This window comes from Homo sapiens, chromosome 3, assembly GCF_000001405.40.
Source record: "Homo sapiens chromosome 3, GRCh38.p14 Primary Assembly".
Lineage (NCBI taxonomy): Eukaryota > Metazoa > Chordata > Mammalia > Primates > Hominidae > Homo > Homo sapiens.
The window spans coordinates 121371703-121387753 of NC_000003.12; the positions used below are offsets into that span (position 1 = coordinate 121371703).

Below are 16051 nucleotides of genomic sequence, written 5' to 3' on the forward strand. Positions count from 1 at the left end.
ACCGGTGGGTGCTGTGTGTGCCCTCTGTGCATATTCATGCTGGTAGTGGTGGCCGCCCAGTGCCAAGGCCAGGGCCACTATTTTCTGTGCCTAATTTTGCACCAGTGGCAGTGTTGCTGCACAGGTGGGGCACAGGCAGGGCAGGGCCAGTGGGCTCCTTGACTGCCAATGCTTCAACAACAATGGTGGTACCGCTGGGAGAAGTGGGACAAGGTGCACTCCACTGGCAGTAGTGTCATGACAGGGTGCTCATGCATATTTACGCTGGCAGGGAAGGGAAGGCTATGTCTACCTGCACACACATGTGCTGGCAAAGCAATGTGGAGGTGGCTACGGGTGAGTGCCTGTGGGCAAAGCAGCATGGAGGCTGCTGTTGGGGGAGGACTCAGTGTGGTGCAGGCAGGGGCACTCTGCTGGAGCACTCTGCCAGTCAGGCACAGTCCACCAGCACAGGAGCTATGATAAGGACCCCCAGGAGGTACCTAGGGGCTGCACTACAGACAGGCTTAGCCAGGCTGGGGGCCTGGGAGAGGCCAGAAGACTGAGGGGTGCTTAGGTCAGACTGGCTCTGTCTCATGGGCAAGACCACCCTATAGAGTTCAGGCCTCACAGTTTCCCTAGGGTTAAAGCTCTTATGGGAGCAAGTTGAGCCTAGGGTGACGGGCATCACTGGTCTGCTCCATTACAGGTGCTCCCACACCAAACCCTCTGGGCGCTAGCTGGAGTTCTTTCCTTAATGCTTCTCTCTTCTCTAAGCAGCTTTCCCTGCCAATTCAGATGTCCATTGTGGCTAAGGGGTCTCCTCCTGCTGGGATTCCAGAGGCCCATGGCGATAGCAGGTTCCTTCTTGACTGCTCAACTCACCCCTTTTGCAGGAGTCATTGGGGTCAGGGAACAAGTCGTGGTGTGTGGTAGCCCAATGCAGGTTTCCCAGCTTTCTTCTCCTTTAGCCCAGCCCCTGTGTCTTCCCTCCATCTGCTCTCAATGCCTTCCCTCTGAAGATCTGATAGGAGTGTGCCAGTCTCCCCAGTATCCTGGTCTCTTGGTGGGAGATGTTCCCCTGGCTGCATCTAGTCAGCCATCTTAGAGCAGGAATTCAATCTATGCTTCTATTTCTGTTGGAAAAAAATTAATTAGACTAATTGCAGAAGGATACTGAAAGAAAATATTAATTTTTTGTCTAAATGGAAGTGAGACTCTAAGGAAGTTAAAATTTTAAAAATTAAAGCTATTTTTAAAAGAATAAGTAAATTGGAGGTAGAAACTACAATACCCAGAGATCACTGCTAGAACATGACGTTGCTTAATATATCCAAGAGTAAAACTTGTTCTTAACCTTCTTAACCAAATAATTTTATCTCAGTATATTAGGAACCTACAGCAAGTAGGTAACAATGTATCAGGTAGAAAATCTAGGGAAGAATTAATGAATCCAGTAAGAAAACAACAGGGACCCTTTGAGGCATGGAAGTTTGAGATGGGAGCATAGAAAAGGAAGCAAGGCACTCAGTTGGATTGGCTCACACCTAGGAGGGATGCTCCAATGCAGGAGAAACGGTAAGTGAGAGATTCCTAGCAGTCCACATTCCAACCACAAATGCCTGCAGTCCTAGCTATAAGAAAGCCCTTTGGCCCTCTTGGGCCCTGAGCCTAGTATAAGGAGCTTCCTGGAGTCCACAAGACTGCATTGTTTCAGGGAGGGAATTCGTGCTGGGACCTCTGGGACCCAAGCTGCTACAATATGATGCCATTTTGAGAGCAGAGTAAACACCAAACTACATCCCGCCCTGGTGCCCAATGACTCCTGCATCTCCAACATCCCTCCACATCCACCCAGAAGGCTGTAGTGTTGCTATGCCAGCTGACCCAGTGGTATAACTGCATTTCTGGCACCTGAGCCATGCAGCACCCTACATCCCAGGGAGCAGGTGATCTAGCACATCAGAGAGGCTGTATACTCACATGCCCCACCCAGGGGAGCAGGGATCAGCCTGCCTGCCCTACTATGGACACCACTAGTGCCTGTATATCACACCCAGAGGCCTAGGGATTGGGCCATTTGGCTCACTACTGGCACCCATGCATGCCACCCAGTGGCCTGCAGACTGGTCCTACTGGCCTGATGACACCACCAGTCTCTGTGCACTCCACTCAGGCACCAGAGGACCCACCTGCTATTGACACTGCCAGTGCCAATGCATGCATCCTACCCAGGGACTCAAGGAGCAGGCCACCTCACCTGCCAGCACCTGTGTGCTCCACCCAAGGGCCCAAAGACCAGCCTACTCAGGGCCCATACTACCACCACTGACACCTGCATGTGCCCCCCAGGGAACCAAGAACTGGCCTACTGCCATCACTGCTGATGCTCACATACCCCACCAAGAGGCCTGAGGACCATCCCACTTGGCACCTCCATCCCCAGCAAATCCTTACCACAGCCTCCAAAAACAACTGCAGCCTATGCCACTAAGGAACTTGCAGACATCTCCAATACTGATTACAGCCAAAGTAATCACATGGAGACTACGCTATGGTGCCCATCCAGAACCAAAGCCAAAGCCATGTACCCAACTTACATTATAGATACATCAACAGGAAAAAATATTTCTCTATGGAAGCTACTTTATAAAATTGGGAAAAGTGACAGTTATACCAGCTGTGGAAATATCAATGTAAGGACATGTGAACACAAAAAATCAAGAAAACATGATACCTCCAAAGGAACACAATAATTCTCCAATAACAGACCCCAAAGGAAAAAAAAGATCTATGAAATGCCTGAAAAGGAATTTAAAATAACGATCTTAAGGAAATCTAGCAAGATACAAGAGTATACAGATAAATACAAAGAAATAAGAAAAACAATTCCTGAGCTGAATGAGAAATTCAACAAAGAGATAGATATCATAAAAAAGAACCAAACAAATCCTAGAGCTGAGGAATTCAGTGAATGGAATAAAAAAATACAATTGAGTACTTTAACAGTAGACTAGGCCAAGCAGAAGAAAGAATTTCTGAACTTGAAGCCAGGTCTTTTGAAATAACCCAATCAGACAAAGGTGGTATGGGGGTGTTGTGGAGGGAGGAAAAGAGGGAGGGAGAAAGAAGAAAGAATGAGAAGGAATTAGGAAAGCCTAGGAGTTGTGGAAAACAAGCAAACAAATAATCAAATTTTAGAAGTTGCAGAAAGAGAAAAGAAGGAAAAAGGCATAGAAAAATACTGCATATTCTAACTTATAAGTGGGAGCTAAATAATTTGTACACATGGACATAGAGTGCAGAATAATAGACATTGAAGACTCAGAAGGGTGGGAGGGTGGGAGGGTGGGAGGGGGAGTGAAAGAGGAGAAATTACTTACCAGGTACAGAGTACTTATTCAGATGTGATTCCACTAAAAGCCCAGACTTCATCACTATGCAATATATTCATGTAACAACAAAATTGCACTTGTACCCTTTAAATTTATACCAAAAAAAGAAAACTTAATGAAACAATAACTGAAAAGTTCCTAAGTCTTGGAACAGATATAAACATACAGATATGGAAAGTTCAATAATCCCCAAATAGATTTAATTTTAAAATGTCCTCTCCAAGGCACATTATAGTCAGAATCCAAAAAGCCTGGATCTCAGTGTGCATTACATGTGCCTCTTAAACCCTACTAAATATGTCTTCAAAATTTCCACTCCTTCTGAAATATTTTACCTGACCCTGTAGTCAAATGTTTAAGCATACAGACAGTAAGTGAGCAACTCTGGATTAGAATTCTGATTATTACGTATGTGATATGAGAAAATTTTCTTACTGATTTTTTCTGAGCTTTAGTTTCTTCATCTTCAAAATCAGGATAAGAGAAAAAAACACCTACATTGCAGGATTGTTGTGAAGGTTAAATGAGGTAATGTGTACAAAGTGCCCAGCATTTAAGTGTTTGATAAATGTTAACTCCCATTTTTTAACATGCCAGCCCATTTAAATGGTGAAAACTAATTTTCATCTTTGCACTATCTGCAAGGGAATCCAGGAAATGTACAATTATACCTTTTCAAACTCTATAATACAGTAAGGCTATATTGTAGTGGATACCAAGTACTAGTTCTTCATGTTCAACATGGCCAATAAACATGATTTTTCTCTGTGGCACTCTATCTTCATTTGTATGACCAAAGAAACACATTTTAAAATGTATTCTATGTATTGCTGAACTACGAGATGATGTTTCAAATATAATTTGTTAGCATTAAGAAAAATAAGACATACTTTAATGCATTGCCAAGTTTTTAAGTTCTATCAAAACAGAGCCAAACTCACAAGGTCTAAATAAACAGTACTCTTATCTTGGACGTGAGTAGTTTTATACTCTGGAACAAGACCGACAATCGTAATTAACTTTTGTTCTGAGTTTACTGTATGCCAGCACATATTCTAGCATTTGACATGTATTATCACAAAAACTCCATTAGGTAGGTAATAATATTCCAAATTTACAGAAGAGGCAACTAATGCATGAAGATTTCAGTAATCTATACAGCTAGTAAGTGGCAGAACTGAGATTTGATTCCAGGCAGTCTAGCCTGGCCCCAGAACCAATGTTCTTATGTACCCTTCTTAACTGCACAGTAAGATGCTTCTGTTCTTCTAGGGTTTTTATGGTTTTAGGCTTTAGGTTTGAGTCTTTAATCCATCTGGAGTTAATTTTTGTATAAGGTGTAAGGAAGGGGTCCAGTTTCAGTTTTCTGTATACGGCTAGCCGGTTTTCCCAGCACCATTGATTAAATAGGGAATTCTTTCCCCATTGCTTGTTTTTGTCAGCTTTGTCAAAGATCAGATGGTTGTAGATGTGTGGTATTATTTCTGAGGCCTCTGTTGTGTTCCACTGGTCTATATATCTGTTTTGGTGCCAGTATCATGCTGTTTTGGTTACTATAGCCTTGTGGTATAGTTTGAAGTCAGGCAGCTTGATGCCTCCAGCTTTGTTCTTTTGGCTTAGGATTGTCTTGGCTATATGGGCTCTTTTTTGGTTCCATATGAAACTTAAAGTAGCTTTTTTTCTAATTCTGTGAAGAAAGTAGCTTGATGGGAATAGCATTGAATCTATAAATAGCTTTGGGCAGTATGGCCATTTTCACGATATTGATTCTTCCTATCCATGAGCATGGAATGTTTTTCCATTTGTTTGTGTCCTCTTTTATTTCTTTGAGCAGTAGTTTGTAGTTCTCATTGAAGTGGTCCTTCACGTCCCTTGTAAGTTGGATTCCTAGGTATTTTATTCTCTTTGAAGCAATTGTGAATGGGAGTTCACTCATGATTTGGCTGTCTGTTTGTCTATTATTGGTGTATAGGATTGCTTGTGATTTTTGCACATTGATTTTGTATCCTGAGACTTTGCCGAAGTTGCTTATCAGCTGAAGGAGATTTTGGGCTGAGACCATAGGGTTTTCTAAATATACAATCATGTCATCTGCAAGCAGAGACAATTTGGCTTTCTCTTTTCCTATTTGAATACCCTTTATTTCTTTCTCTTTCCTGATTGCCCTGGCCAGAACTTCCATTCAGGACATAGGCATGGACAAAGATTTCGTGACTACAACACCAAAAGCAATTGCAACAAAAGCCAACATTGACAAATGTGATCTAATTAAACTAAAGAGCTTCTGCACAGCAAAAGAAACTATTGTCAGAGTGAACAGGCAACATACAGAGTAGGAGAAAATTTTTGCAATCTATCCACCTGACAAAGGGCTAATATCTAGAATCTACAAGGAACTTAGACAAATTTACAAGAATAAAACAGCCCCATCAAAAAGTGGGCAAAGCTGTGAACAGACACTTCTCAAAAGAAGTGGCCAAAAAACATATGAAAAAAGCTCATCATCACTGGTCATTAGAGAAATGCAAATCAAAACCACAATGAGATACCATCTCAGGCCAGTTAGAATGGCAATCATTAAAAAGTCAGGAAACAACAGATGCTGGAGAGAATGTGGAGAAATAGAAAACTTTTACACTGTTGGTGGGAGTGTAAATTAGTTCAACCATTGTGGAAACAGTGTGGCGATTCCTCAAGGATCTAGAACCAGAAATACCATTTGACCCAGCAATCCCATTATGGGGTATATACCCAAAGGATTATAAATCTTTCTACTATAAAGACACATGCACACATATGTTTATTGAAGCACTATTTACAATAGCAAAGACTTGGAACCAACCCAAATACCCATCAATGATAGACTGGATAAAGAAATGTGGCACATATACAGCATGGAATACTATGCAGACATAAAAAAGAATGAGTTCATGTCCTTTGCAGGGAAATGGATGAAGCTGGAAACCATCATTCTCAGCAAACTAACACAGGAACAGAAAACCAAACACCACATGTTCTCATTCATAAGTGGGAGTTAAACAATGAAAACACATGGTCACAGGGAGGGGAACATCACACACCGAGGCCTGTCGGGGGGTGGGGGGAAAGGGGAGGGAGAGTATTAGGACAAATACCTAATGCATGTGGGGGTTAAAACCTAGAAGACAGGTTTATAGGTACAGCAAACCACCATGGTGCATGTATACCTATGTAACAAACCTGCACATTCTGCACATGTATCCCAGAACTTAAAGTAAAATTTTTTTTAAAATGCTTCTATTCTATCTTTTTAAACTCCAAGCACTTAAAGTACTTTCATTGTATATTTAAGTTATGCAACAAAAAGTTTAATACTATAATGACAGAATACATGGTAGAGATATAGAACCAATTTTAATCTATGTTACACAGCCAAAATATAAAAAAATGAATCTTATACTTAATAAATATCTTTTGAAATTTTTGGCTAACTACTAAAATTATGACTAAGTCTTAAAAGAACAAGGACTTAACTATATTCATGTGGTTTAGAAAATAAAGGAATTGTTGCTCATCTTCATTTGTTAATCTACACGCTTGTATTCCTTTGTATTAAGAGTTAATCATTATATGTATGCTGCCTTCCTCCTCTTGGCACAGACCATGTAAATGGACACTGCACAAGTCCAACTTCTCAGAGTTGCAGTTCTGGAAAACGTCTTTCTAGTGCCGATGTTTCAAAAGTAAATCGCTGGGGTCCTGGAAGACCACCATTTCGAAAGGCCCAGTCAGCAGCCTGCATGGAGATTTCTTTACCAGTTACAACAGAAGGTATGTTAAACATATTAAATTTTTTTGTTACAGTTAAAATTTGGTTTACAATGGTAATGGGAACAGAGATATGGGATGGAGATCACATATGAAAGATGTTAAAAAACTACTAATCAGTGAATACCTGAGAGCCTGATGGGGCTGTGGCCATAACTCCAACTCCATTCCTCACTCCACCTCCTTCCTCACCTCTAAAACCAGAATGCCTCTGCTTATAGGTAACTACCCCCTCCTCTGTACAAAGGGAGACCTATGCCTAAATCTGTTCCCTACCCTTCCCATAATAATTAAGAGTTTATTTCAATCCCAATGGTAAGCTTTTTGGTGTCTCTATCTGTAGATATTTAATGTATTGCAACCTTAATTTCCTCAATTGTCAAATGAATGTGACCAAGAACAAAGGCAAGATATTAAATTCTAAAGTTTGCAATTTTCATCTTCATATATTTTTAAAAGGAAGGTCTATTTGCTTATTTATGGAATGAGTGTGGGGCGGTGGGGTAGGGGAGTAAATTACAAGAGCCAGAGACCAGAAATTTTTACAGAGGCAAAAAAAGGGAATTTTGTAACTTTGCTGCAACTGTCTTATTGATAAGGAACTTTAGAGAAAGAGATAGGAAAAAAATAATTTTAGGAAGATTTGCTATAGTAATTCTATGCTGTGAAGTAAGTCTCTATTTACTACTCCTGAAAACTTTTGACAGTGATCTATATTGGTCTTCAAATTTAAAAAAATTATATTTAAGTTTTTGGTTTTTTAAATATTATGCTATACTAAATCTGATCCCTTAGATATGCAGATAATGATGTTATTTCTCTAACAGGTGTCTGTGAGTATCAACTTTGTATGGTGATGAACCATGAATGGAAAAGATTTGGAGCCATATAATATCTAGCATGTTATAAAAGAAGCAATATGTAATGATTATAAAAGAAGTAGCCCCCTTTTAATTTTTATTTTTTAAAGAGTTAGGATCTCATTCTGTTGCTGAGGTTGGATTACAGTGGCATAATCATAGTGCACTGCAGCCTCTAACTCCTGAACTTAAGTGATGCTCCTGCCTCAGCCTCCCAAGCAGCTGGAGGTACAGGTGCACACCACCACATCCAGCTTATTTTTCAGTTTTTGTAGAGACAGTGTCTCACTAAGTTGCCCAGGGTAGTCTTGAACTCCTGGCCTCAAGCACTGGGGTTACAGACAGGCATTAGCCACCACAACCAGCCAGAAGTAGCACTCTCAATCACTGTAATGAGAGGTGGGAATTTTGAATTTTAGATACTTCTACCTCTAATTTGTCCTGGATTCTGGGAAAATTACTAAACTCTAAGTTTGTCTCCAAATCTGTAAAACATATAACCTCCAAGCTCCCTCTCATCTCTAAATTTTATGACAAACAATTATTTTTATAAATTTGCTAAGAGATAAAAAGGAGAAATTAGGAATACTATATTTTGTTTCCTAGAAAAAAGTCTGAGGAGCCTGTATTTATCCTCTTTCTATAAAAACAATTATGAGTTACATGTGTACCTATCAAGAGGGAAAAGAGAGTGAAGGCTGTAGAAAGAAAAATCTGAAGAACTTGTACTCTGGAGAGATTATAAGAGCAGGACAACCTTGATAACATTTCACTGAGCTGTATGAGTTTATGCTTATTGGAGCGTGCACATGTACAAGTGTTGATGAGAGGAGAACCTGAAACCATCCTGTTTTTTTTTTTAAGTGAGCTGAAGCACTCTCAGAAAGATTACCACTATCAACAGGATGGCATATAGTCTGTACTCTTTGTTTAGCCCTAGGCAAAGTTAGGACTGCATTTGAATTAAAGGTAACAGCCTGAAACCAGTTCAGGGAGATAAAATTTGCATTTTGGCCTTGGTAGAAATGTTAATTTTTAGAATTGTAATTACCCCAGATATAGAATATGTTTGCCGCAGAAGATTTGTGATCCTGATAAGCCCTTTCATGCCAATCGCCACAGTATTGTCATTGGAACTGACAAGAAACTGTTAGGGATTCTTCCAACAATTCAGAGGTAGGAGGGAAGCACAATTTAAGTGATGTCAGAAATTCTTGTAACCATTACTATTTAGACTAAATCTTTTCTCTAGGTAAAAGAATTTCAACAAACTTGTGAGTTAACGTAGAGAAAGAAAAATGGTGAGCTGGAGCTCAGGAGCCTCCAATTCTAGTCCTAGGTCTGCCTAAGCTTATGAATTATACTTCTAGACTTCAGTTTCTCCATCTTCAAAATAAGCTGGTGAACTGGATAAGCTCCCTCTCAGGTCAATTAACAAACAATGAAATTTTACTTCCTCCTCATAATTTTGATTTATATATATTAAATCTGATGTTATTGTGGAAATATACTAACAATTTGTGTGGTTTTTTTTTATTTATTTCCATAGAAAACCGAGAAAATTCCTATAATCGTTCTAGAAGCTCTAGTATCTCCAGTATTGACAAAGATTCTAAAGAAGCAATTACAGCACTATACTTCATGGACTCCTTTGCACGGAAAAATGACTCTACCATCTCTCCTTGTCTGTTCGTTGGAACCAGTCTGGGAATGGTGTTAATCATCTCCTTAAACCTACCATTAGCAGATGAACAAAGGTTTACAGAGCCAGTCATGGTATTGCCAAGTGGTAAGAGTTTGTATTCATTCATTCCTTCACTGTTACTTTTTCAAATTTAGATATAAGGTATTATAAACATAAATTTGTATTGATTTGGAGCAAAGGTTATAAGTATTCTGCACAATGGGAACTATTAAGAATTTTATACATCATATACCATCCCAACATCTGTCATGTTGTAACTTTCCTTTGGGGTAAAAGAGTACAACCATTTCTTCGGTAGTAAACTGTGTAAGTGCCAACCTGAACAATGACATGGGAAATAAGTTCCTGAAAAGCACTGAGGAAAACCTTAATGCAAAACTTAAATTTATTTTTAACAAATTGAAGCATTACCCAAAGTTCCATGCCAGATCAGAGCATGAGTGTTTTTACATCATCCTTGAAGAACTCAGAATAATTAAGCTAGAAGCTATCTGACCTAAGGTGGATTTCTAAAGACTTTTATAACCTTCCCATCTTGTTTCAAAAGCATGCCACACAATTTCTTTCCTTTTCATGCTAGTGCCTAGAGAATTTGACCAATGTTGTAAGTATTGTTGCCAAGCATATGTTGTATTCTCTTCCTCCTTGAATTATCTTTTTTTTTTGAAGAAGAGATAAGTATGATTCCTCCTGTTATTCCTAATTTGTTCTTATCACTAATTTTATTGTTTCCCTGTTTCCTATATAAGAAATTTTCAGATAGTTTTTAAGTCAAAAAATTTCATTACTCTGCAGGATAAGGGTTTTATTTTAAAAGGATATATATTATATAGAAGGTTACACTTGTGTTTTCTTTAACTAGTGTGCTAAGTTCATATGACAAGATTGTAGGTAGAATAGTCAGTTCTCTACTAATGTGGCAAATTCAGATTTGTGTTTTAAAAGTTAATCGTGATGACAATTTTATTTTAACATATAGTTCACAATGAAAAATATATTTTACTATATTCCTAATTATAAAGAAATATACACAATTCTTTTGACTGGTGAGTTAGTTGGAGTCAAATCAGTGATACCATAATGAATTATTAATTATTAATTCAATTCATTATTTAACTCAATAAAAGATTATATATATTGGACATCTAATATGTACCGGGCATTCCTCACAAGTTTAAAGGTACAGTCAGCTTCCACTGTCACACAAGTTTAAAGCTGTAAGTGAAAGACAATTTCGTAATTAGAAATATTCTAACAATTGTGGTTTTCTGTATCACAAGCATAGAAATAAGCAATCCCTGGACTAATAAAGCAGATCTCTCAATATTATAGGGAAATTCTTTGTCATTCTTAGCACATATACTTAGACCAAAAAATGATGACAAAATACAAAATAAGTATAGATTTAACTTTTGACACTATTTTGTAAATATTTGAAAACTTTTTCTTTATCTATTTAATAAGATTTAATGGGAAGCTATCTTCTCCAAGTCTCTATGTCACTATTCTTTCAAGACTCTAGTTAATAATATGTGTCAACATCAGTTCATTGGCTAGGCACAGTGGCTCATGCCTATAATTCCTGCACTTTGGAAGGCTGAGGGAGGAAGACTACTTGAGGCCAGGAATCCAAGGCCAGCCTGGGCAACATAGTGAGACCCCATCACTACCAAAAAATTTTTTTAAATATATATATTTTTAAAAATTGCTGGGTGCAGTGGCTCACACCTATAATCCCAGCACTTTGGGAGGCCAAGGTAGGAGTATTGCTTGAGCCCAGGAGTTCAAGACCAGTCTGGGCAGCATAATGAGACCCCATCTCTACAAATAATTTTTAAAAATTAGCCAGGCATGGTGTGTGTGTGCCTGAGCCAGAAGGATGAGCATGCAGTAAGCCATAATCTCACCACTGCACTCCAGCCTGGGTGACAGAGTGAGACTCCATCTCAATGAAAAATAATAAAAAAATTAATTAAATCAAATGTGCCACACTTATACAAGATGTTAATAATAAAGGAAATGACAGAAGGGGTATGTGGGAACTCTTTATACTATCTGTTAAATTTTCTTTAAATCTGAAACTGCTGTTAAAAATACACTCTATTAATTTGTTGAATAAAGATGTATATAAAGGAGAAAGCCATGAGTCTGGGTTCCCATGTTTGTTCTGTAATTAACCATTACAAGAAAGAAAGTCTACTTGGGAGCCATAATTTATGGCAGTAAAAAGAAAGGAGGGAAAAGATAAGGGTGACAGAAATCTTGTTTAAATTTAAAGTAGAAAATTTTGTGCTTCCTCTTTCAGAGCCTACTTATTGACTAACTGTCCCGGTCTTCACTCTCCTTGCCATATTTATTTTCTTTCCTATACCCATGAGTCTCTGCCCAAGCTTATGGGAACTATTATGGGTACTGTTTATGTTATTATGGTTGCTGCCATAGCTTATGGGAACCATTAAAGAAGGTTTGGATTTAGGGGCATTTAGCACTTGTCCATTGTCAGTGCTGAAGTGAGTGACATGCTCTCTGACCTTGAATGCATCTTTTTTCCTGTGAGAACGTTGTTAAATAAACTTTTGTTAGTCGGCCTAGGAAAATTCATGAGTCAAATAGTTTCCTTAGACTTGAAAACAGTCTACTTTGAAATTTATCCACTCATTCAACAAACATTTACCAAGCCCATACCACCGAAATAAGCACTGGGGATACAGTGGTCCCTGTTTTCGGAGACTTGTAGGGAAAAACAAAATTAAACACAAAATTACAATAAAGAAAGTATAATAATGGAAATTACACTAAGAGAAATAAAGAATACCATGGCAGCATGGCAGGGGGATTTGGGGAAGAGCTCCCTAACAAAGATGACATCTGAAGTGGAAGTTGGACAAGTTTGGGAGGAAGTGTACAGTACTGGCGTTTAAGAGTAATTCAGAGGCTGGGCGCAGTGGCTCACAATTGTAATCTCAGCATTTTCGAAGACCAAAGTGAGAGGAATGCTAGAGCCCAGGAGTTCAAGACCAGCCTGGGCAACACTGGGAGACCCTGTCTCTAGAAAAAAAATTTTTTTGAAAGACTAAAGTCAGTACAGTGTGAGTAAAAATCTAGAAGTAAGAGAGGACATGGCATAGCTGGAGACTGTAGATAGAATGATACTAAATGAGGATGGAAAAATAGGCAGGGAATGATTATACAGTGCCTTATAAATCGTGAAGAAGGAAAAGACTACCTAGTAGATTATTTTTTCAGTACAAAACTTGTGATGCAAAACATTGGGTTTTTTTTCAAGATCTAGTTATTAAATTTTAAATTTTATAATTGTAAAAATCAAAATATAAAGGAAAAAAATGAAAATTCTGCCACTAGCAAACTTTGTCCCTTCTCTGTCCCCGTCCCCATCCTCATTTCCTCCCCTAGGAATTTTACTCTCCACTAGCAACTTGGTGAGAAATTTGTTAAAACTCATTTTAAGTTTTATTTATTTCTACTTAACTCTTTATGCTGCCAACTATAAATTATTCTATAATGATCAGTTCTGCCATACAAAGTACCTAGCATGCTTTGTAACATATATAATATATATGTGTATATATAAAATATATATCTCTCATAATCAAACTCAAGATTTAAATTCATGATTAAAGTCAAGATTCTCCAGAATAAATTCATTCTCCTTACCCCAGTGGTAGATGCTTTTTCATTGCTATAAATGAATACCTGAGATTGGGCAACTTATAAAGAGAAGAGGTTTAATTGGCTAATAGCTCTTCAGGCTGTACAGGAATCATGGTGCTGACATTTGCTTAGCTTCTGGTGAGGCCTCAGGAAGCTTCCAGTCATGGTGGAAGGCAAAGAGGGAACAGGCACATTACATGGCAAGAGGAAAAGCAAGAGAGAGAGGAGGGAGGTACCACATAATTTTAAATAACCAGATCTTATGTGAACTAGCACAGAGAGAACTCACTAATCACCAAGGAGATGGCGCTAAGCCATTCATTAGGGATCCATCCTCATGATCTAATACGTCCCATTAGGCCCTACCTCCAACATTGGAGATTACATTTCAACATGAGATTTGGAGGGAACAAACATCCAAACCATATCAACTTCCAAACTAGTTATTTTTAACACTCTTTCATTTCTGTTAGTAGTAGAATATTAACAGAAATGTAATTAATAGCCATCATACTACCTAAATAGCCTCCATAACTTCAATTTTTTTCTTCTGATCCCTTTTACTCACTGCCTTCATACTGGTCATATACCAGTATTATTTTCATCATTGAATTTTCACTTTTGGACCTACCCTGTCTACTCTAGAGTTGTCCCAGCCTTACTCCCTAAGTCAAACTTATTTTCCAGCATTCAATTCCATTAAAGTCCATTTCTCCATTGAAGAACTAGTAAATTAATTTATATAAATATGAAAATAGGTTAATGTGCTTTCTTATGGATATAATATAAAACTGGTTAATAGGCTTTGTCTGGAAATTATTTAATTGAAATTAGAATGATATTATTTTTAATGCTAAGTCTAAACCTTGATGAAAAACTTTATTAAAGTATTATTTAGTTAAGGTCTTTTGATATAAGATGGGTATATTTCAAATATACTTATGAAATTCACACATTTTATCTCTTCTAAACTGCAATAAGAACTAATACAATAATAACATTGTAAAATCAAACATAATCATTATATTTGACTGAACAAGAATAATAAAGGCCTCATACACAATAGTCAACATATATACTCCCCATTTATAGGTTTCAATATTTAGCACCTTTTGGAGTTACCAGTATCTCTTATTCTATTTCATATGTTCAAGTGTACCCATTGTTTAGCTCCACCTTATAAGTGAGAACATGTAGTTTTTGACTTTCTCAGTCATTTTATTTAGGATAACAGCCTCCAGCTGCATTCACATTGCTGCAAAGGGCAATAATTTCATTATTTATTTATTTATTTTATTATACTTTAAGTTCTAGGGTACATGTGCACCATGTGCAGGTTTGATACATAGGTATACATGTGCCATGTTGGTTTGTTGCACCCATCAACTCATCATTTACATTAGGTATTTCTTCTAATGCTATCCCTCCCCCAGGTCCCCACCCCCCGACAGGTCCCAGTGTGTGATGTTCCCTGCGCTGTGTCCAAGTGATCTCATTGTTCAATTCCCACCTATGAGTGAGAACATGCAGTGTTTGGTTTTCTGTCCTTGTGTGATAGTTTGCTGAGAATGATGGTTTCCAGCTTCATCAATGTCCCTGCAAAGGACATGAACTCATCCTTTTTTATGGCTGCGTAGTATTACATGGTATATTTGTGCCAAATTTTCTTAATCCAGTCTGTCACCGATGGACATTTGGGTTGGTTCCAAGTCTTTGCTATTGTGAATAGTGCTGCAATAAACATACGTGTGCATGCATCTTTATAGTAGCATGATTTATAATCCTTTGTGTATATACCCAGTAATGGGATTGCTGGGTCAAATGGTAATTCTAGTTCCAGATCCTTGAGGAATTGCCACACTGTCTTCCATAATGGTTGAACTAATTTACACTCCCACCAACAGTGTAAAAGCATTCCTATTTTTCCGCATCCTCTCCAGCATCTGTTGTTTCCTGACTTTTTAATGATTGCCATTCTAACGGGTGTGAGATGGTATCTCATTGTGGTTTTGATTTGAATTTCTCTCATGACCAGTGATGATGAGCATTTTTTCATGTGTCTGTTGCCTGCATAGATGTCTTCTTTTGAGAAGTGTCTGTTCAAATCCTTTGCCCACTTTTTGATGGGGTTGCTTGGTTTTTTAGTGTAAATTTGTTTGAGTTCTTTGTAGATTCTGGATATTAGCCCTTTGTCAGATGGGTAGATTGCAAAAATTTTCTCCCATTCTGTAGGTTGCCTGTTCACTCTGATGGCAGTTGCTTTGCCGGACAGAAGGTCTTTAGTTTAATTAGATCCCATTTGTCTATTTTGGCTTTTGTTGCCATTGCTTTTGGTGTTTTAGTCATGAAGTCCTTGCCCATGCCTATGTCCTGAATGGTATTGCCTAGGTTTTCTTCTAGGGTTTTTATGGTTTTAGGTTTAACATTTAAGTCTTTAATCCATCTTGAATTAATTTTTGTTTAAGGTGTAAGGAAAGGATTCAGTTTCAGCTTTCTACATATGGCTAGCCAGTTTTCCCAGAACCATTTATTAAATATGGAATCCTTTCCCCATTTCTTGTTTTTGTCAGGTTTGTCAAAGATCAGATGGTGTAGATGTGTGATGTTATTTCTGAAGCCTCTGTTCTGTTCCA

At 38.2% G+C, this 16051-nt stretch overlaps 1 protein-coding gene across 11 annotated transcripts in view, besides 1 other annotated feature; it reads left to right on the top strand.

Moving 5' to 3' along the window:
* STXBP5L (syntaxin binding protein 5L) overlaps positions 1-16051 on the top strand; it is a 516557-nt gene that overhangs the window by 463498 nt on the left and 37008 nt on the right. For 9 of the 11 annotated variants that reach the window (NR_145516.2, NM_014980.3, NM_001308330.2 and 6 more), the window contains 2 exons: positions 7014-7184; positions 9591-9830. Coding sequence is in view for 8 of the 11 variants with exons in the window: in NM_014980.3 (NP_055795.1) it covers positions 7014-7184; positions 9591-9830 (411 nt within the window). In the remaining 3 variants the exon portion in view is untranslated. Of the gene's footprint in view, positions 1-7013; positions 7185-9590; positions 9831-16051 lie in introns of those variants that run through there. The other 2 variants (XR_924217.3, XR_001740373.2) reach the window with 1 other exon arrangement.
* Positions 362-861: an enhancer, noted in NCBI's record as "H3K4me1 hESC enhancer chr3:121090911-121091410 (GRCh37/hg19 assembly coordinates)". NCBI's record gives its function as "activates a minimal SCP1, AML or CMV promoter by ChIP-STARR-seq in primed H9 embryonic stem cells {active_cell/tissue: H9 hESC(primed)}" and the evidence as "EXISTENCE:reporter gene assay evidence [ECO:0000049][PMID:30033119]".